Source organism: Homo sapiens, chromosome 14 (genome assembly GCF_000001405.40).
Source record: "Homo sapiens chromosome 14, GRCh38.p14 Primary Assembly".
NCBI classification, from domain to species: domain Eukaryota; kingdom Metazoa; phylum Chordata; class Mammalia; order Primates; family Hominidae; genus Homo; species Homo sapiens.
Window position 1 is genome coordinate 99,035,060 of NC_000014.9, and position 20,872 is coordinate 99,055,931.

At 46.8% G+C, this 20,872-nt stretch overlaps 1 long non-coding RNA gene across 1 annotated transcript in view, besides 1 other annotated feature; it reads right to left on the reverse strand.

Annotated features, from left to right (window-relative positions):
• The window catches only part of LOC107984696 (uncharacterized), a 76,716-nt gene that overhangs the window by 35,635 nt on the left and 20,209 nt on the right, over positions 1-20,872 (reverse strand). The window lies entirely within an intron of this gene.
• Positions 3,361-3,861: an enhancer, noted in NCBI's record as "H3K27ac hESC enhancer chr14:99504757-99505257 (GRCh37/hg19 assembly coordinates)". NCBI's record gives its function as "activates a minimal SCP1, AML or CMV promoter by ChIP-STARR-seq in naive H9 embryonic stem cells {active_cell/tissue: H9 hESC(naive)}" and the evidence as "EXISTENCE:reporter gene assay evidence [ECO:0000049][PMID:30033119]".

Here is a 20,872-nt window from a genome sequence, read left to right on the forward strand (position 1 = left end):
CAGGCAGCTCTGGCTTGAATCCCAGCTTCCCCACTTCACCTGGGGGACCTTTGGTGGGTCACTGAACCCTTTGGGCTCTTCATCTGTAAAGCGAACTAAGAACACAGCCTGGGCTGACGGGGAGGATTACTGAGAAGGAGAAATGCCATTTCCTGGGCCTTTTGCAAAATGTGTAACGGACATCCGCTAGCAGAAAGTCTGAAACTAGATTTCACCACTTGGGAGGTGGGAGAGCGGTGGGTAGGGGGGTTTGATCTGAGCCACCCCAGATTTCAGGGCCAACGCTGATCTGGAAGCTCCTGGGGACTTCTGAGACTCTCCATCCCCTGGCATTAGAAAATGTACAGGGAAGCACGCTGGAAACCAGGAAGCTCTAGGCAAGTGTAGATTACCATGACCAAGCCTGGGCTGGGAAGAGGAAGAGAGGACAGAGCCAGGCTGGGAGGGAGCCAGAAAACACTCTTGTGGGCTGGGCTCTAGCAAAAAGTGCTGATTTGGGGAATCCGTGGATTAGAGAAGAATCTCTTTGCCTATATCTTGCTGTGTGACCATGGGTAAAGTCCCAAACTTCTCTGAACCTCAGTTCCCACAGCTATAAAACCAGGATATTGGGCCAGCCTCCTAGATCTTTGCAGGTATCAGCTGTCTATGAAGTGTCACCCACTCGTACCACCTCTGTTCCGTGAGACACGGTCACCTCACCACCTTGGGAGGCGTTGTTGCTTCCATTTCCAATGTGAGCAAACGGAGGCTCTGTGAACCGTGTTCCCAAGGTTGCAGAAGGAGAAGGGGCCGGGCCAGAAGCAGAACCAGCTCCATCTGCCCTCCAGGGCGGTGCTCTGCCGCAGTCCCTGAGATGGCTGCCCTCCCTCCGTGCAGGCGCTGGCCTGAACAGGCTGGCCCAGGGCCCCCCAAGCCTTCCATGCTGGTGGGAGGGCCGCCTGCACAGCCAGTGCGTCCTCCTCGGCGGCCCGTGCCAAGCAGCCCTGCCCAGACCGCACGAGGAGCTGGCCACGACCTGCCAGGCCCGCTAAGCCCCTCCCGCCTGTTTCTCATTTAGAGCAAGCCCCGGCTGCAGCCCAGACATTCCAGAGGGGACAGTCAGACGCCAAGCCCGCCCATGGCTTGGGAAACCGGGCTGCAGGCAGCCCCGTGGTCAGGAAGCTCCACAATGTTTTCCCCTCCCTGTCGACATTTTAAAAGTTGCTTAACCCCTGGAGAAGTCTGGTCCACTCTTTTGGGGCCCGGCTGAACTGAGCCATCCCTGACCCTGGCATTCAAGGGCTCCATGGCCAGGAATAAAAATGACTCTGTAGATGAGCTGGACTCCCCATGGTTCCCAGGCTCTCCTGGCTCAGACCTCCTTCTCCAGCTCTTTGTTCTGGCTGGTCTCCACCTCTGAGACAGCCTCCCTTCCAGCTGGGAGTCCTGAGGCTTCCTGGTGGAGGAGGCATCAGAACAATACAATTGCCACTAATTAGGTGTCAGCTGCTGGCTGAAGTGAACACCCCCACTTACCCCCGCTCCCAGAAGATGCAGGTGGAATCGCTCTAGCTGTCCCTGGAAGAATCCTACCCTTCACACAGCCTTGAGTGCGTTAATTATAGATTGCCGCCTAATGACATAAGTAGCGTTCCTGAATTCCGCCAAAGTGACAATTTGCCATCAACATAAAGCCGCTGCCCGCGCTGCTAGCTGGCCGGGCATCCGGGCGCGAGGCTCTGCGCTCCTCCCGGCCCCTCCCTCCGCCACCCTGCCCAGCACCTGGATGACGCTTGCTTGGCTTGCTAGTCAAAATACATCCTTTTCCCTGTCACCGCTGCCATCTCAGCCCCCAAAAGTAGGGCCTCTTCTTTTTTCCTTCATCTTTTTTTTTTGCCCTGATTTATCAACCCTTGCTGATGGAACCAAGGGCTTTTAAAAACTGTTCCCACAGAATGGCAGTTCCTCAAAAAACTAAAAATAGCATGATCATTGGTCCCAGCACTTCCGCTTCTGGGTATACACCCAGAAAATGAGAGGCAGCATCTCCAACAGATATTTGCACACCCGTGCACACAGCCGCGCTTTTCACAATAGCCGAAAGGCCCAAAGACAGCGGAAGCAGCGCCAGAGTCCCTGGACAGATGAATGAGTAAATAAGACATGGTGTATATGTACAGTGGAATATGGTTCCGCCTTAAAAAGGAAGGAGATTCTGGTGTGTTCTACAACGTGGGTGAACCTTGAAAACACTATGCTAGGTGAAATAAGCCAGACACAAAAGGATAAATACTGTAAGACTCCATTTATACAAGATACCCAAAGTGGTCAAAATCATAGACAGAAACCAGAATGGAGACTTCCAGGGGCTGGGGGAGTGGGGAATGGGGAGGTGTTATTTAATGGGGACAGAGTTTCTGTTTGGGAGGACGAAAGGAGAACTCCTTGTAGCAAATGAAGCCAACACAGAGAAAAGCAGAAGTGTGGGGATATGTCAGGGAGAGAGAGAAAGAGGGAGAGAGAGAGAGGGAGAGGGAGAGTCAGGTGGGGGTGATTGTCACTGTGTCTGAACACCTGGATCCAGCCATGCCTGAAGCTAGACTTATCTCCTTGGACTTTAATGCATTCCATTTTATCCTTAAGCCATTTCAAGTGGGGTTTCTGTCACTTGTACCCAAAATAATCCTGTTTGATAAGAAATGGATTTTCACAATTAATCCATGTCAACTTTCGCCCCCTGGGGTTCCCTCTCCCCGTATTCCTTAGGGTATTCTAGATGGATGTACCATTCATGGGACACAACAATGTGAATGTACTTGATGCTACTGAAAAACTGCTGAGATGGTCAATTCTATGTCTATTTCACCACCATTTTAAGCATTGGTTTAAAAAAAAGAAAGCAGTTCCCCATCTCCCCGACAGGGGACCATCTGAGGCTGGGGAAGGCAGAGTCTCCGACAGGCCCTGAGCCTCTCCCAGGGCCCGGGGCAGCCAGAGCTCAGACCCAGCTTGGTCTTCTCAAGGGCCTGCAAAGGGAGTGAGGCGAAGTGGCCGGGCCAGGGATGCATGTGCTGTAAGAAGCAGGGCAAGGATGGGAATCCAACCCTGACACCACTGATGTGGCCTCTCTGCAGGACAGAAAAACACATTCAATAAAGGAGACTCCTCCGCCCCTCCCAGAGACTGCACCGGATGTGATGCAGCTGGAAGAAAGGAAGTTCCTTCCGTAAGATCTGACAATGAAAGTTTGTCTATCTGTTCCCCAAGCCACACACACACACACGGGACAGGGACAGGACAGGGGACAGGGACAGGACAGGGGACAGGGATGAGGGCCACATTCTCCTTGACCAGGTCCCTTACTTAACCACCCTAATGGCCCCCCACAAATGCAGAGCATGATGGGAAAGCACAATAATGGGCCAGGCATGGTGGGTGATGGATGTGTTTTCGTCTGACCAGCCACCCTCCCCTTAACTATGCCTGGGCCATGTGGGTTGGCCAAGGCTGCCCCATCCCCAGCTCCAAGGTGGGCACATGACCCAGGCCTGGCCAACGAGAGCCTGACCACCAAATGACCGTAGATGGCCTCAGAGACAGACATGAAGCCGAAGTGAGTCAGTCACAGGAAGTATACTCCAGACCCTTAGCTGGAATGACTGAGAAATGTGCTGCCTCCTTCCTCAAGGCTGAATGAGCTGCTAAGTTTGGAGCTGCTTGTGCCATCTCTGCCACCTTGTAGCAAATGAAGCCAACACAGAGAAAAGCAGAAGTGTGGGGATATGTCAGGGAGAGAGAGAAAGAGGGAGAGAGAGAGAGGGAGAAGGAGAGGGAGAGGGAGAGGGAGAGTCAGGTGGGGGTGATTGTCACTGTGTCTGAACATCTGGATCCAGCCATGCCTGAAGCTAGACTTATCTCCTTGGACTTTAATGCATTCCATTTTATCCTTAAGCCATTTCAAGTGGGGTTTCTGTCACTTGTACCCAAAATAATCCTGTTTGATAAGAAATGGATTTTCACAATTAATCCATGTCAACTTTCGCCCCCTGGGGTTCCCTCTCCCCGTATTCCTTAGGGTATTCTAGGTGCTATAACAGACAACCTCAAATCTCAGGGTCTCAATACAGCCAGAATTTACTTCTGACTCACACCTCCGTCCGTGGTAGAGAAGGGGAGGTGAGTGGGGGGCTGGCCTGGCTGCAAGGAACCTACATTCCTTCTATCAAGTGGACCCATCTCCTACCCACCCCCCAGGGTCTTAGGGTGCCCCACTGGGGTCTCTGTATCTGCCCTGAGGAATGAGGGGCCAGAGTACCATGAGATGACACAGTTGCTTCTCACAGCTCACACAGAGGAGATGGTCCCAACAACCAGGGGAAGAGGAGGCCCCTGGGGGGCACAGCGTGTCTGTCCGTCCTACCTCTTCCCTGGTGGGCCTCACAGCTGGACTAGCAGCGTCTGCCTGCCTTCCCCTCACCCTCTACCCTCCTGCCTCAACTACAGTTTCAACTGGGTGGCCTGGGGCCTTTCTCCTCCCTACAGGCTACAGGGCTGGCACGACCTGCCCTTGGGAAAGATTTGGTGGGGGCAGAGGCTGGGTAAGAACCTGGAGAAGGATGGAAGTAAAATCTTGGCCCCAGTGCTGGATGCCTGCTCTCTCCTTGCTGGCCTTTGAGTCTTTCCTCTCCTTCCCATCCTCCGTCCTCTGTGGCTGCCCAGTCGCGACTCTCTAATGAAGACCTGAAAAGGACTCGCTACATGTGTCCTTAACCCAGTTCATTTCACAGATGGGCCACTGAGGGCCAAGGCAGAAAAGCACCTCTCTTAGGGTCCCGAGGTGAGTGGGTCACCGGGCTGGGTCCAAACCAGGGTTCCTGCTCCCCGTCCAGTGCTCATACCCTGGGCCAGCTCCTGAGTCCTGATCCCGGAGAGGACAGACTGGGAGAAAACTGCATTTAAGAATCATCTCCAAGTGCCAGAGCCTGTAGAAGTCAGGCTGCATCACTTCACTTCATAGATTCACAATTATAAGTGGTAGGTAATTCCCCGTTGGAGAGAAGGCAAGTTTCAGCTCAGAGAGGTGAGCAGAGCAGCCTGGCCAGCCATGAGGACCTGTAGCAGAGCCGCAGCCCAATTCCGATGCCCAGCGCCTTCCCGGGAGCCTGGCTGCAGACAGGGATGGACGGGGGATCAGTGCAGCCTGTCACTCACCTCCCTGTCCCCTGCCTCTCTTACCAGAGCTCAGCGCCAATGCTGGGGGACTGCTCCAGAGAGCATGTGAGCTGGGCTCGTGCCGGGAAAAACAAGAGGCAGGGAGAGCACGCAAATGCATGACACAAAGACGCCCGACGCCAAGAGGGAGGAAAGGGAGCAGAGGAGACAGAGACACGGCGAGAACGAAGGCACCGCGAAAGAAAAGCTGGGAACAAAGACCTCTAATATTACTAGCTAAAAACCCATTTCACTATAAACGTTAATTCATCTACTAAATGTCAAGTGCTGTTGGCTGGAGCTGCAGTTTCTATACCTCTCCTTGTTATTAATACGTACTTAGCGGCAGTGGGAATTAGAAGCTCCGTAATAATACCCTTCCCAAAACACTTCAGATGAAAATTTCTGTTTGAAATTTAAGGAGAATTCTATTATGGCTGCAGCACGTTATATAAAAGGCCGATGTCAGGAGCGAAGGCCTTCGTGGGTGCCCTCTGATGGCTGATATGCTTGCGCCAGGACGGAAGCCCATGGATCTGGCCATCAGTGGCCAGAGGCAGAGGAACACTCGGGCCGGCGTGGCCTGCATGTGGAAACTCCTCCATTCGGCCAACTTCCGAGCCCTCCCGCCAGCCTCCTTCGCACTCCTTCTCCCTGCTCGGTCGGGGAGCAACCACAAGGGTGTCTGGGGACCCACTCCCCTCCTGCAGGTGGGCACGGCATGTGCCTAGGCCATTGCCCCACCCCCAAACCACCTCAGTGATAGGAGTGGGAGCTTGGAGTGTGAAAATAAAGTCAGCCTTTAGACAGAACTGTTCGTCTTCCCCGAGGACTGCAGGCCTTCCCCTGTGGTTTTTGTTATTTCCTTCGGAGACTGCAAAGGACAGTGACATAATTAAGTCTATTGTCCTTCATGCATCTGTGGAGGCCGCCACCGTGGCTCCCGGTGAAAACCATACTGACCCCCAACCAGCCCCCCTGCACTGTTCCCCCTCCCATTCAGGGCAGGTCTGCTGCACCAAGGACCTTCCAAAGCCTCCATCTGACCCCTGGACACCCAGCAGCAAACCCCCTTATCCACCCACTCCGGCAAATTCCTTTGCCAGGAGCCCAAGCCCCTGCAGATGCTGGCCCACACTGCCCTTTCCCACCTCACATCTCATTCAGCCAAGGCCTTTCACCCTCTGCACTCTGGCCAGACTGGGCTTCTCAATGTGAGTGCCTCCTTATTCCTTAGGGCCTTTGCACGTGCTGCTGCCTGGAACCTTCTTACCTCCTCCTCTGCCTGTTCGACTCCTGCTCCATCCTTCAAGCAGGCCCTCCTCTGAAAAGCCTCTGCTGGCCTCCCACCTCTCCCCAGCCTGGCTCCGTACCTCCAGCCACCATGGACACAGCTCCACACCATCTCTGTGGTAACATCTGCATGAGTGGTGCCTGGTTCTGAGCCAATCCCTTCCAGCAATCTAGAAGGTCCTTAGGGCAGGGTTTGGGCCTGATTCATCTCTGTGTTGCCAGCACGTGACACAGGGCTGCCACATAGTAAGGGCTCAACAAAAGTTTGTTGAATAAATGAAATGTCCTGAACTAGACCTGATGCCTCTTGCTGAGCAGTTCAAGGCCAATGGAGGAATGTGGCAGGTGGGGATGCACCAGCCTGGTGAGGCTGGACTACATTTCCCAGAATTCTGCTCTCTGGAGGTGTCCAGTCAGGATGAGGCCCAAGATACATCCTCATATGGATTTGAAGGGTGGCGGTGAAGTGGCAGCTGCTTTTATGTCCACGCTCAGCCGTCCGGGACAGGCCTTTCTGCAGGCCACATGTGCTGCCTATCTGCAGGCCGGCTTCCCTGAGGTGGGCAGCACTAAGGCCTGCACCTGCTCCACCTCCCACAGGGTGCTCCTGCAGCTCTTTCATTCCTGGGCCAGGCATGTGTTGAGCTCCAAGCTGAAAGGCGTCTGCTTCTTCTCTGGGCAGGACACCCTGAAGAACATCATCAGGAATGGTGGCAGCACAAGCCAACACAGATTCCTGTCTGTCCTCCTCCGTTTCAGCTCTGTGTGTGCTTCTGGCTGACTCCTGACCCCCCACTTCCCACTCTTCTGCCCAACTACCTGCTTTGCAAACTTGAAGCTCCAGCATCAGACACCAAAGCAACAGATTTACAGGGACTGCTCCAGCAGCCCCGCAGCTATGAGGTTGCGGTCAAAACCCAGGTGTAGATCCCTTTCTGTCTGTACTCACATGTACCTTCTAGTGGTTCTGCTTCTTTGACCCAACCCTGACTGATACAAGAAGACACGCCCCCAGCTGGCTAACCTCCTGGACTCAAACATAACAAGTGCTCTGAGTTGTGGATGCTGACACATCATGGAGCAGGGGAGCAAGGGGAAGCTACCGAGGGGTGACGCTTGAGCCAGCCTGGACGAGCCTGCCAGGCGGAGGGGAGGAGGGTGGCCCAGGGTGAGGGTGCAGACCCAAGTGAGGTTCAGCAGTCCCACCAGGCTCCATCAGGAGCCAGCGCCCCCCCCCCCCCACAGTAAAGGAGCACACCCGAGGATCTGCCGCTCCCGCCACAGGCCCGAGGGGTTGTTCAAACCCAGACCAGGTCTGTTCAGCCTTGACGCCTCCCCATAAGCCCTATCACGGAGGATGAAGACCAACCAAGGGAGCAAATGGTCTGAGCCAAAGAGAAAGTCAGAAGGGCGGGTATGGGCATTTTCTATGGAGAAAAGGGTGGCAGAGGAGGAGTTTGGCCCATCTAAGAATAGAGTGCAGCTCTGCTCCACTCCCCAGGAGAACCCAGGGAAGTGGCAAGCCCAACAGCAACCTGGCTGTGGCTGCAGGAGGGCCTGGGGAGGCCACCAACAGCTCTCAAGTGCTCCCGGGACTCTCTGCTGGCCCGAAAGTGACTGGGAGAGGATTTCTCTTGGAAGGCAAGGAACATGGTCAAACCACATAAGAGAAAAGGAGGTGTCAGCAGTGTCAACGTGGACAGACGATGGCTACAGGTGGACATGCCTAGCCCTGCTACAAGCTCCTTAGCATGCAGGCTCATCTCCAGGGAGGGAGGTGACCCCAAATTGACGGGGTTAAGTTTCTGTCGTTTGGAATTTAGTTCAGTCATAAAACCTCCAAGGAGGTCCCTGGCACACCCCCAGGTAGTGGCCTGGGATTTGCATAAGAGACAGGTCTCCAAGTTCATATATCAAAATGCCCCCCGTGAGTTCCCTGGCATTAGAAATGTGGCCACTTCTGGAGGGGCCGACAGCCACGGGGGAAGGATTTCCAGCAACAGTGGAAAAAGCCAAGGCAAGAATTAAAACTAACCAGCAAATCCAATTGGAAACAGCAGGGGAATTTGCTGTGAAAGTTGGTTTCAAGCACACCCCGTCCGTAATTACTCATTTTGAAAGTGTCACGATTTCTCCTGCCAAAATTATGGCTTCCCATCACTTGTTAAACCCCTTTCACACCACTCTTTCTTCACTCTGCAAAAATGGATTTCACTCAAAAAAGAAATTAGAAAAATAATTGATGTAATAACCATAACCTTGAAAATACTTCTGCCAGAATTTCAGAGCAGAAGGGAAAGAAGGCCCAAAATAAAGGCATCTCTCTGGAAATCAGAAACCCAAATTAGTTCTACACCCTGGCTGCACCCACTTCTCCGCCAACTCCCTGCAGGTGAACAGGAGTGAGCTCTGTTCCCACCCCCAAAGAGACAGGACCTGACACTGCCTCTGCATGCACAGAGCTCAGACCTTGGATGCCACAGCCAGAAAGGAAAGGCCAGCTGGCCCTCCCCCCACCCCCTGTTTTTTCAGAAGGGGAAATTTAGGCTCACAGATATGCCAGCTCTCTTTCCAGGTATATTGTAGGATTGCATGTCCCCACCTCCTTTGAACTAATTGTGACCGTGTAGCTTTCCTGGACCAAGGAAATCTGAGTGGAAGTAAAGTGTGTCACTTCTGGGTGGAAGCTCTCGAAGCCATGTACTCATGTACAATTCTCATATTCCCTTTTTGCTGCCTCAGTGATGGTGAAGGCCCAATTGGGGCGATTCTGCCTAGCCAGGGTTTCTGAGTATCTATGGCAGAGCCCTCCTGCTGACCAGTGTCAGACATGCAGCAAAAGCAAAAATAAAAAAAACGAACAACCACATCAAAGAGTGGGCAAAGAATATGAACAGACACTTCTCAAAAGAAGACATTTATGCGGCCAAGAAACACATGAAAAACAGCTCATCATCAATGGTCATTAGAGAAATGCAAATCAAAACGACAGAGAGATACCATCTCACTCCAGTCAGAATGGCAATTATTAAAAAGTCAAGAAACAATAGATGCTGGCGAGGCTGTGGAGAAATAGGAACGCTTTTACACTGTTGGTGGGAATGTAAATTAGTTCAACCATTGTGGAAGACCGTATGGTGATTCCTCAAAAATCTAGAACAAGAAATATCATTTGACCCAACAATCCCATTACTGGATATATACCCAAAGGATTATAAATCATTCTACTGTAAAGACACATGCACACATATGTTTATTGCAGCACTATTTACAGTAGCAAAGACATGGAACCAACCCAAATGCCCATCAATGATAGACGGGATAAAGAAAATGTGGTACATAAACACCATGGAATACTATGCAGCCATAAAAAGGAGTGAGATCATGTCCTTTGCAGGGACGTGGATGAAGCTGGAAGCCATCATCCTCAGAAAACTAACACAAGAACAGAAAACCAAACACCACATGTTCGCGCTTATAAGTGGGAGTTGAGCAATGAGAACACAGACACACAGAGGGGAACAACACACACCAGGGCCGGTTGAGGGGTAGGGGGTGAGGGGAGGGAACTTAGAGGACAGGTCAATAGTTGCAGCAAACCACCATGGCACACATATACCCATGTAACAAACCTGCACATTCTGCACATGTCCCAGAACTTAAAGTAAAAGAAAAAGAAAAGAAGAAACTAAGCTTATGTAGTGTTTAAGCCATGAACTGTGGGAGATGTTTGTTACAGCAGCATAACCTATGTCAACCAGACAGTTACACATTTTTGTGGTGGTGGCAGCCGTGATTTGCTGCTCTGTTTTTCCTCAGTAAGGTCTATAATGTCGGGATTCGTGTTTTGTCCTGGCTACCAAGTCCACCCAATGCCTAGCACACAGTGGGGCTCAGAAGATGTTTGCTGAATGAATGAATGAATGAACAGGCTCAATGGAGAATGAGTCAAAAATAAGATGGTCTGCTGACAGGCATTTCCTGAACTGGAGAGACGGGCTTGACACGTGCAGATCATGACACCCCATGCTTTAGGGATGGAGGACCACGGTGTGTGGGTTTTTAAGTCTATCCAAAAATCCTATCCAAGTAACTAGTTATTACCTTTTAAAGGTAAGGCAGGGAGGGCGCTGTGGCTCATGCCTTTAATCCCAGCACTTTGGGAAGTCGAAGCAGGCAGATCACCTGAGGTGAAGGGTTTGAGACCAGTCTGGCCAACATGGTGAAATCCCGTCTCCGCTAAAAATACAAAAATGAGTCGGGTGTGATGGTGACACGTGCCTGTAATTCCAGCTACCTGGGAGGCTGAGGCAGGAGAACCGCTTGAACCGGTGAGGCAGAGGTTGCAGGTTGCATTGAGCCAAGATTGTGCCAGTGGGTGACAGAGTGAGACTCTGTCTCAAAAAAAAAAAAGGTAAGGCAAAGAGATCCGTCATGCTTGGGTGAATTGCGTAAGGCCACACAGCTAGCAAATAAGCAGCCAGTCTGACTCCAGAGCCAGAAGTGGTCCTCTGCTTGGCTGGACACTCACAGCCCCAGCACAGGAGCCCCAGGAGGAAGTCCACACTCTCATTGTTCACCGGCTGCTTCTGTTAAACTTACACAGGTGAAAGCTCAACGATGCAGTGAGCAAACACATGTCAAATGTCAATCTACTGTCAGTCTTCAGATGCCTTTTGGAGAATGTGGAACTCACAGAAGTCAGGAAGCCTGCAGAGTCAGAAAGAGTGCTGGGTGGTTATTAGGAGTCCTGCATTCGAGCCCTGGTATCACAGCTGTGTCATCACTTACCTGTGCCTTGGTTTCCCCTATTGCTATAGCAGACAGGCTGGACAAAATCACCCCTAGGATCCATTCCAGCTCTAGAGTTCTACAGTTCCTGTGAACATGCCTCCGGCTGATGCAGGAAAGAAAGTCAAACCCTTTTAAGAAAATCACTAAAGCCCTGAAATTGCATGAACGCCTTTGAGATTGCTGAAAGAAAGGCATTTGCTAAATCCCCTCTATTATTTCCTAAGGATATTTTTTATTATTATTATTTACCAAAGGAATTTCTGGACAGAGTTTAAGTGCCCCAGAGCCTACAAAATAATCATCTCTTCGACACACAACAAAAGGGTCTGAATATTCTTGGCTGATGACTTTTTCTTTGAAACACATTCTCCATGGAACAAAGGGGTTTTTTTTCTTTTTTTTCCCCAATCTCTCAGAGTTTAAGTAAAACACACACAGATACACACAAACCTCTTCATGATCACCAACCCAGAAAACTTTAAAAGTTGGCCAGATGGCCTAAGAACACATTCAAAATACTACCGATTCTCCTCCAGGTCATGCCCAGCACCATTCACTATTGGGGGAGTTGGTTATCAGGAACAAGACAAAAATGATCTCTATTTATTGAGAGCAAGGAGCCAGGCTTTGTGCCAAAACTTTTATGTGCATTATCTCATTTAAACTTCTGCATAACCCAGGGAGGAAGACGGGAAAACACAGACTAAGAGAAGTTTAGTCTAGGATCTCACAGGTGGTAGGAGCTGGTGTTGGGATCCAGTCTTGGGTCTCATCAACTCTGCAGTTCATGCTGTCTCCCACACTCCATCACATTTCATCCTCATGCCCAGCCTAGAATGCAAGATTAGAAGGCCCATTCTACAGACAAGGGAACCGAAGATGGGCCCCAGATAAAGCATTGGCCCACAGCTAATGCTTGTGAGTTGTGAGTTGGTCACTGAAGCCAGGGATCTAGTCCATCAGACCAGAAATCCTTTTGCCTGACTCCACACTATTTCCAGGCAATGCAGGCAATCAAGATGCATCCTCCCCTCATTTGGAGCTAACTTATGGGCCAATGTACTGCTAGTGCCAATTCCCAAAATTCTCAAGTGAATGAGAGAACAAGGAAATTATTTGCGGCACAAGTGAGCATGTGCAGTCAAAGGACAGATGACATATCCAGAGCCAGGGTGGAAATCTCTGCATTCGGTAGGCCCTGCAGTGATCCCTACTCCTGCCCAGGGATCTGGGCCCTGTCAGTAATTCCACTGCAGGCAGCTGTTTGCAAAGGTTAATAACTCGGACCATAAAAATTTGTGGCGAGTTGCAACTTGGCACCAGCTGCCTCAGAGTGCGAGAGAAGCTAGCGTTTGCAAAATATGGTTCAAATAATCCAGCCACCACCTCCCCCCTCGCAACCTTATTTTTCTTTAGTTTTAAGAGTGCAAGAAACATAGAAGTTCTGTGGTTTCACACTGATCTTTTTATGGTTCGAAAGACTCCAAAACAGAGTTGATTAAAAAAATGCCTGTGCATAATGCCGACCATTGTGTGGGCATTTTCAAGGAAGCATGTCATCCGGTGCGGGACGTCGGAGACTTGAATGTTCTTCTCGTTGGCTTAAAGAAAAGGTTTTGTTCTCAAACAAAAGAGACATCCTGACTCAACAACTGTTTGTGTCTTGACCTCTGCACCCAAACCCCAAATCTGTTCAGAAGAGGCAATTTGATACGAGAGAATGAGCAGGGACATTGGATCTAGCCAGGAAAACCTGAGGCCTGGCTCTGCCTCTTCCTGGCTCTAGGACCTTGGGGATCATGCTTCTCTGATTCTCACTTTCCTCATCTCTATAATGGGCACAGGAATTTCTACTTTGTAGGGTGGTTGAGAGATTTGCAAGAGATAAAGCATAAAATCAATTCACCACTTTGGAGAAAAAAAATTAAGAACTGACAAAGGACCAGGCATGGTTCTCAATGCTGGAAATCAACAATGAACAAGGCAGACCCAGCCCTTGTCCCAGTAGAGCCCACGTTCTTCCTGCTGGGGGAGCAGGCCATGAGTAAGTTAAGAAATAAATGAGATTATGTTAGATAACAATGTCTTGAAGAGCAAAGTAGTGACTGCAGGGAGGAGTTGTGCTACTTCAGCACCAGGAACCAGCAGAGGCCTCCCTGAGGAGCTGGCATTCAAACTGAGGCTGAATGAAATGAAGGAAGTAGACATGTAAAAGTGGCTGGGCGAAAAGTGATCCAGACAGGAGGATTAGCAAGTGCAAAGGCCCTGGAGTGGAACTGGCAAAAGCCCTGGAGTGGAACTGCGAGGGCCAGGACAGGGCATGTGGAAGCACCAGGAGGTGGAAGAGGTGACACTACAGAGAGATGCAGGGGCATATCGGGTGAGGCCTTAAAAAGCATGATGAGGGGCTGCATTGGGCTTTATTCTAGGCCCAACAGGAAGATACTGATGGGTTTGCAGCTATGGAATTCCAGGGTCTAACCTGCGCTCTGATTCTGCTTGCTAGATGGGGAAAGGATAATAGCAAAATAAGTATAATAGAAAAACACAGATCAGTTAAGAGACTTTCTCAGTCCAGGCAAAAGATGATGGGCTGCTGTGGGAACAATGGAGCTGGAGAGAAGCATATTAACTTCAGGATACAGCTTGGAGGTGCGGCCATGGATGGATGGCAGCCAGAGAAGGAAAGAGAACCCAGGAACACGCAAACTTTAGAAGCTGGATAAAGGAGCATGGATACAGCGGCCAGTAAGGGAGTGGGAGAGAATAAGAGAGTGTGATGTCCTGGAAGCATTGAAAAGAAAGAGTTTCGAAAAGGAGCAAACAGGATCACAGAGAAGACTGATGACCATTGGATTGGCCAGTGGAGGTCACTTGGATGACTTAGATACATGAGAAAGCTGAGATGGCAAATACAGGCAGCTCTCTCACTCAGTCCAATAAATAGATGGTATTCCTAAATACCTTCTCTAGGAATGGATATTGAGCACCTCACACCATCTATTGATAGAGAACTTTACAGTTTACAGAGTGGTTTTATAGCAATTGTCTTATTTCTGGTGACTTATGAGGCTTCTATCATGATAATAAAGATATTCATAAAAATAATGTGGATGTTCAGATGCCCGGTCCATATGGTGGACTGAGCTGGCACAGACGGACTGTCCACTCTGCCCATCCCCAGCCCAAACAAATAAAAATATTGGATACAATACAACAAAAAACTCTTCAAATACAAAGCCAAGCTTAAAAGCAAGGAAAGAAAAATCTCCAAGAGCTCAAAGTGAAGATAAAACTCAAACTGGAGTAATTGATGGAAGCTGAAAATGAACACGTCACAGGATATTGGACTTGATTATAGGAACTGGAGACTAAGAGAGGAGATGAGACTTCAGGCTGAACTGAGGCAGAGATATGTCTCTGAGCCTCTGCACAAAACCAGGGACCAGAAAGCATTGCTCACCCATGAAACTATAAGCTAAAACATTACTCCAAATTGGTCCAGAACTGACAAAACACACAAGATCCTAGCAGAGGCAAATGTAAAACTACTCAGAAGTGATACCTCTAAAACTAGAAAACCAAGCTCTAGAGAAAGCTACTACCCCCACTGAAGATGAGCTCACAATAAAATATTATAATCCATCCAAACAAAAAAAAAAAAACAAAAAACAAAAAAACACCCTAAGGTATGGTACCATCAAAAGACGTAGCAAAGGAGAGAAGTTCACCTTAAGAACTAGAAATAAAAGACAATTTTGGGAAAAAAATCTTTAAAATAAGCATATTTAAAATCTTTGAAGAGAGACAGGAAGAAATACAAACCAAGAAATACATACAAGAACAAAATAGTATGTGAAAGAAAAGGCATATCTGAAGAGAACTAAAAGGAGATTCTAGAAATGAACAATGTAATAATTAAAATAGAAAAGTTCAAAAGGCAGGTTAAACAGAAGACTAGACACATAGAAGCAAAAATATTGAACTCTAACACAGACATTGGGAAATCACACAGGATACAGGAAAAAGAGAGATAAATAACTGGAAAATATGAGAGAATAATTTGAGTTCTGCATGACAAAAAGAGAAGCACCAATATATTAAGTGAAACTATCTTTATAGGTCAAAATGGTTGACTTTCAGCAATGTCATACAGCTCTACCTACTATGTCTAATATGAGTTGCAGAGAAGAAAACAAGAAAGAACGTGGGAGAGATAATTGAAGAGCTGAGAACTGACAATTTTTCAGAATTGGTAAAAAAAAAAACAAACCATGATGCCTCATATTGACTTGAGTAATATAAAATATAGTAAAACTATCAAATGTCAAGAACAAAGAGAAAAGCTTTAAAGTCACCAGAGAGAAAAGACAGGAAGGACTGAAAAACAGCAGACCTCTTGTCAGCACCCTTCAAGAATAAAGGCAGTGGTACAATCTGTGAAAGGCTTACAGAAGGTACTAGCAGCCCACTATTCCAGAGTGAGAACTGAAAAAGACATTTTCAGGCATACAATTTATCAGCCACAGATTTGCACTAAATAAAAGTACTATGAAAAGAAGGGAACCAAAGTCAGAAAGAGGTGTTCAACATCACCAGGCATCAGAGAAATTCAGTTCAAAACCACAGTGAGACATCCCCTGACACCTGTTAAAATGGCTATCGTCAAAAAGACAAGTGTTGGTGAGAGTATGGAGAAAAAGGAACACTTGCACACTGTTGGTGGGAATGTAAATGGGTACAGCCACCATGGAAAATAGGATGGAGGTTCTTCAAGAAACTCAGGATAGAACTACCATGAGATCTAGCAATTCTACTTCTGGGTATGTACCCAAAGGAGTATCTCGAAGAGATATCTGCACACCCCCATGTTTATTGTGGCATTATTCACAATAGCAATGATATAGAAACAACCTAAGTTTCTATATCATAACAGATAAACGAGTAAAGAAAATGTGATATACAGTGGAATATTATTCAGCCATTAAAAAGAAGGAAATCCTGCCATTTGCAACAACATGGATAAAACTGAAGGACATTATGCTACATGAAACAGGTCAGACACAGAAAGACAAATACTGTTTGACCTCATGTATGTGCAGGATCTAAAAAAGTCAAACTCATAGAAGCACAGAGTAGAACAGTGTTTACCAGGGCCTGGGAAATGAGGGAAATAGGGAGATGTTGGTCAAAGGGTACAATGTTAAGTTATAAAATGAACAAGTTCTGGGGATCTAATGTGTAGCATGGGTGTTGATGGATATGTTAACTAATTTGACTATGATAATGATTACATAATGTGTATATGTGTATCAAATCATGTATGCGAAGAAGCTTCAATATATTAAGTGAAACTATTTTTACAGGTCAAAAATTGTCGGCTCTCATCAATTTCATACAGTTCTCTCTACTATGTCTAATATGAGTTGCAGAGAGGAAAACAAGAAATAATGTGGGAGAGATATTTGAAGAGCTAAGAACTGACAATTTTTCAGAATTGAAGAAAAAACTGTGAGGCCTCATATTGACTTAAGTAATATAAAATATAGTGAAACTATCAAACATCAAGAGCAAAGAGAAAAACTTTGTACATACTGTACAATCTTTGATGACTAAGTACTTTACGAATTGTTTAAAAACCAGAAAGAAAGATGGGACTACAAGAAGCAATGTGAGACCATAAATTGGTAAATGTGTTATAAGGCTAAATAAGTATTAACTGCAGAAAAAAAAAGGATGACTAATGTAAGGGTTAAAATAAGGTAGAGCTAAAATATTAAACATCAATAATATTTTTTAAATGGAGGGAGAGTTCAGAATTAAAGAGCTGTGAGATAAATTGTTAGGGAAGAGGATAGAGATAGCTGTAGATTTTTGTTAATATTCACCTTAAAATTTGGGGTGGGAGGGCAACTGCTAAAAAAAAATATGTAGAATGTATTACTTCCAAACAAGTAGTTACAAAAAATAAAATCAACGCTGTAGACAGGGATTATCAACCATTTTCTGTAGAGGACCAGATAGTAAATATTTTCATCTTTGGTAGCCATACAGTCTCTGTGAAAAGTACTCAACTTCACCACTGTAGTGAAAATGCAGCCAAAGACAGAATGTAAAGGGCAATGTCTCAATAAAATGTTATTTACAAAAATAGATACGTGTCTGGATTTGGCCTACAGCCCATAGTTTGCTACCCTTTGCAACAGATGGCAAATAAAGGGACTGTAAAAAGTAATAAACAAAAGTATATATTTAGAAAACAAAAAATAAGTCCTAGAATCACAATAAATGTAAATGGATTAAAATCATCTATTAGAATATCCAAGTTGTAGAATGATATGGTATGATGTCATGTATATACAGGTTTAAAACACACGTACAATACCATTTGTTGTTTATAGATATGTTCATGTTTAGTAAAGCTACTGAAAGGGACACATACAATTTGAGAGCATAGTACCTTAGACAAAGCATGAGGAGAATAGATTTGGAGAGGGATACAAATGCCACAACAATCTGTCAAAGATTTTGTTTTCAAAGCAAACAAAAAAACCAAAGCCAATTTAGTGAAACAATAATATTTATTTATTCTACATAGTGTGTACATGGGTATTTGTTACAATACTCTATATTTTTCTTAGGTTTGAAAGCATTTTATTTTTTAATCACTTGCATCTCATTTACACTTTAACAATCATTAGGGGAGTTGTATTATAAACTTCATTTCTCCAGATGAAAAATGTGAGGTTCTAGAAGGGTTAAGAGGCTTGGAAAACTGAGACCATGATCTTAGAACTCAATTAAATGAGGTCTAGATACTGCAAGACACTTTGTGAGAACTTGAAGACATGTGTTTAGCAAACACTTACCCTCCGTAATCCCTGAGGCACCTACCTTTTGCCAGATACTCATTCTCTTCTCATTCTCTTCTAACTATATTCCTGTGTCAACCACTTCCTATCCCTCCTCTGCTCTCTGGAAATCTACGGTATGAAAATATAGCTTGAATCACACCCTACTCCAGCTCTTGAATACCAGCTGTAGGCCCAAGGATATAAAAATAAAAAGGATACTGCTCTCTCCAAGTGGTTTAATTTCCAACTCGACTATCCTCTACCTGGACAGGCATTAACTTCTTCTCTAAGCCTCCATTTCTTCATCTGTAAAATGGGAATTAGCATCCCTAACCTAAATGGTTCCCAGGATTTTTGTAAGAATAAAATGAAATTGCCTAGTAGATTACTATTCTGACAGAAAAAGTCCAAACTCCTGAGCATGCCACTCAGAGCTGCCTTGAATCTCACCCCTTCCCGCCTTTGAGTGTTTTCTCCTGTGACACTCACTCTACACCCACTCCCCAGTCATTCCATTTACTCCACCACTTCCAGGCATTAACTGGATTGATGTAAAAGTAATTGCGGCAGTTTTTGCCATTGAAAGTGATGGCAAAAACCACCGCAATTACTTTTGCTCCAACCTAATACCAGGATATTTCCTCTTTCTGCACTGCCTTCTTGCCCCAGCTCTTCATCATTAGTCAAAATTAAATTTTACCTGAAATAACGTGACTTTCAAGAAGCTTTCTCAACATCTTCAGTGATGAGTAGATGTCTCTTCCATCCAGCTTTCATAGTCTTCGCTTATGGATTACTATAAACATTCTTCCTTATATGCAAACTGTTTCAGTGACTAAATTATGAGTTCCTGGATGAAACAGCCTTCAGAGTGTCCAGCTTTGGTGCTCAATAAATGCCTCTGTGATTGACTGAACAAAGCTGTGGCCAACTGAGCTCCATTAGGTTGAGTAGGGTTGAACTGAGTAAGGTGAGTACCGTTGGGCGGTGTTGAATTGAGCCAAACTGGGCGGTGTTAAAGACAGCATGTTGGGCTAAGCTGAGCTGATGTGAGCTCTGAGCTGAGTTGAGCTGAGCCTGGCCAGCTAAGGTAACATGAGCTGAGGTCCACCGAGCTGAATTTAATTGTGCTAAATTGTGCTAGGCTCCACTGAGCTGAGTCAAGCTGCATTGATCTAACCCTGGAAACTGAAGATCTCACAACAGTTTGGGCTTCTTTAGATAGAAACACTCTGGCACCTACTCCCAATTATACACTGATAGTTCATCCACTAAGAATTAAACCACTTCGAGAGAAATACAAAGGCTGACTTCCACCAAGTACAAGGGCCTAGGGCGAGCTATGTTGCTCAGTGAATTGTGTACATTTTCTAGGCATGGGATCACAGAAACCAACTGGAATGAATTTCAGAATGTTTTGTGTAACTGCTGTCTTCTGCCTGGTTGCTGTATTCCTTAGGCAGAGCCCAATGGGGGAAAAGAATTTGCGGGAATAGCTCCCACCCAGGAGGGCTTGCAATGGCAAACTGCTCCCAAGGAGAGATCAAGGTTGAGTGCTGACGTACCAAAAAATAATAAATATCTGCTACATCTAATATCCCCCACAGTCAACAAAAACATCAAACAATTCCATCAGAAAAGAATTAGGTTTATAAGGCAGCATGTTGGAGTGAAGAAAAGATGGACTTTGAAGTCAGGGAAATCCTTGTGACTTGTTAGCTGTAGAAACTTAGATTATTTCATCTCTCTGGATTTTAGTTCCCCTGTGTATCAAATGAATAAAATAAAATTAAAACAAAAGCCACCTACCCCATAGAGTTGCAAAAAGAATTAAATAAAAGGGTCTTTATGAAGCTCCTCAAGTAGCACTTGACATATGGTAGATATTTAAACAGAACTGTCGCTCCCCTCTATAATGGTTTCATCTGCAACTGCTGTGGACATTCCTTTGAAACTGCTCATTGAGTCATCTGGGCTCTGTAGACTCACCCTGGTCATTCAGGGACTTACATTTGAAGAAAAGCAGTGAGTAGTTTCACACATACCTGGCCCTCCCTAGAACACGTTAGGCCAGTCACAGTCTCTCACCAGGCTCCATTTCCCAGTTGTTAAAGGACGGGTTATACTGGACGGCCTCTAAGAGCCCTTTCAGTTCTAACACTAGGGTCACCTGCTGATTTCCCCAGGCACCCAGGAAAGCAGAAGCCCTCAAGGCCCATCTTATGTACACATGGGCCCTGGCCACAGTAAAGAACGTGCATCATTAATAATGCTCATGCTAAGTGGGACGTTCTGGAAATGAAAAGGCTTATTTATGGGGGCCTGGAATGGGGAACCAACATTCTTGCTGTGGCCGCCCATCACACTGGCCCCTTTCAGCATCTGAAAGGGCCGCACACCTCCCACTCTGTGCATTTGCACCCACACCATCCTCTCTGCTGGAAGGTGCTTGCCTACCTTTCACCTAGTTAACACCTCATCTACTCTTCCACCAGGGCTTAGCTCAGTCTTGATTTTTTTCAGGGACTCCCCACCTGGCCTCCAAGATAAGTCAAATTCTCTGATTATACATTCTCATAACAGCGTGGATCTCTCTGCATCTGCCATGTATTGCCACAATAAGGCTGCGTAACAAAACCACCCTGAAACTTAACACAGCAACCATACATGGTTTCTGTTTGTCTGTAAGATGACTGAGCAGTTCTGTCAATTTGGGCCAGGCTTAGCTGATCTCAGCT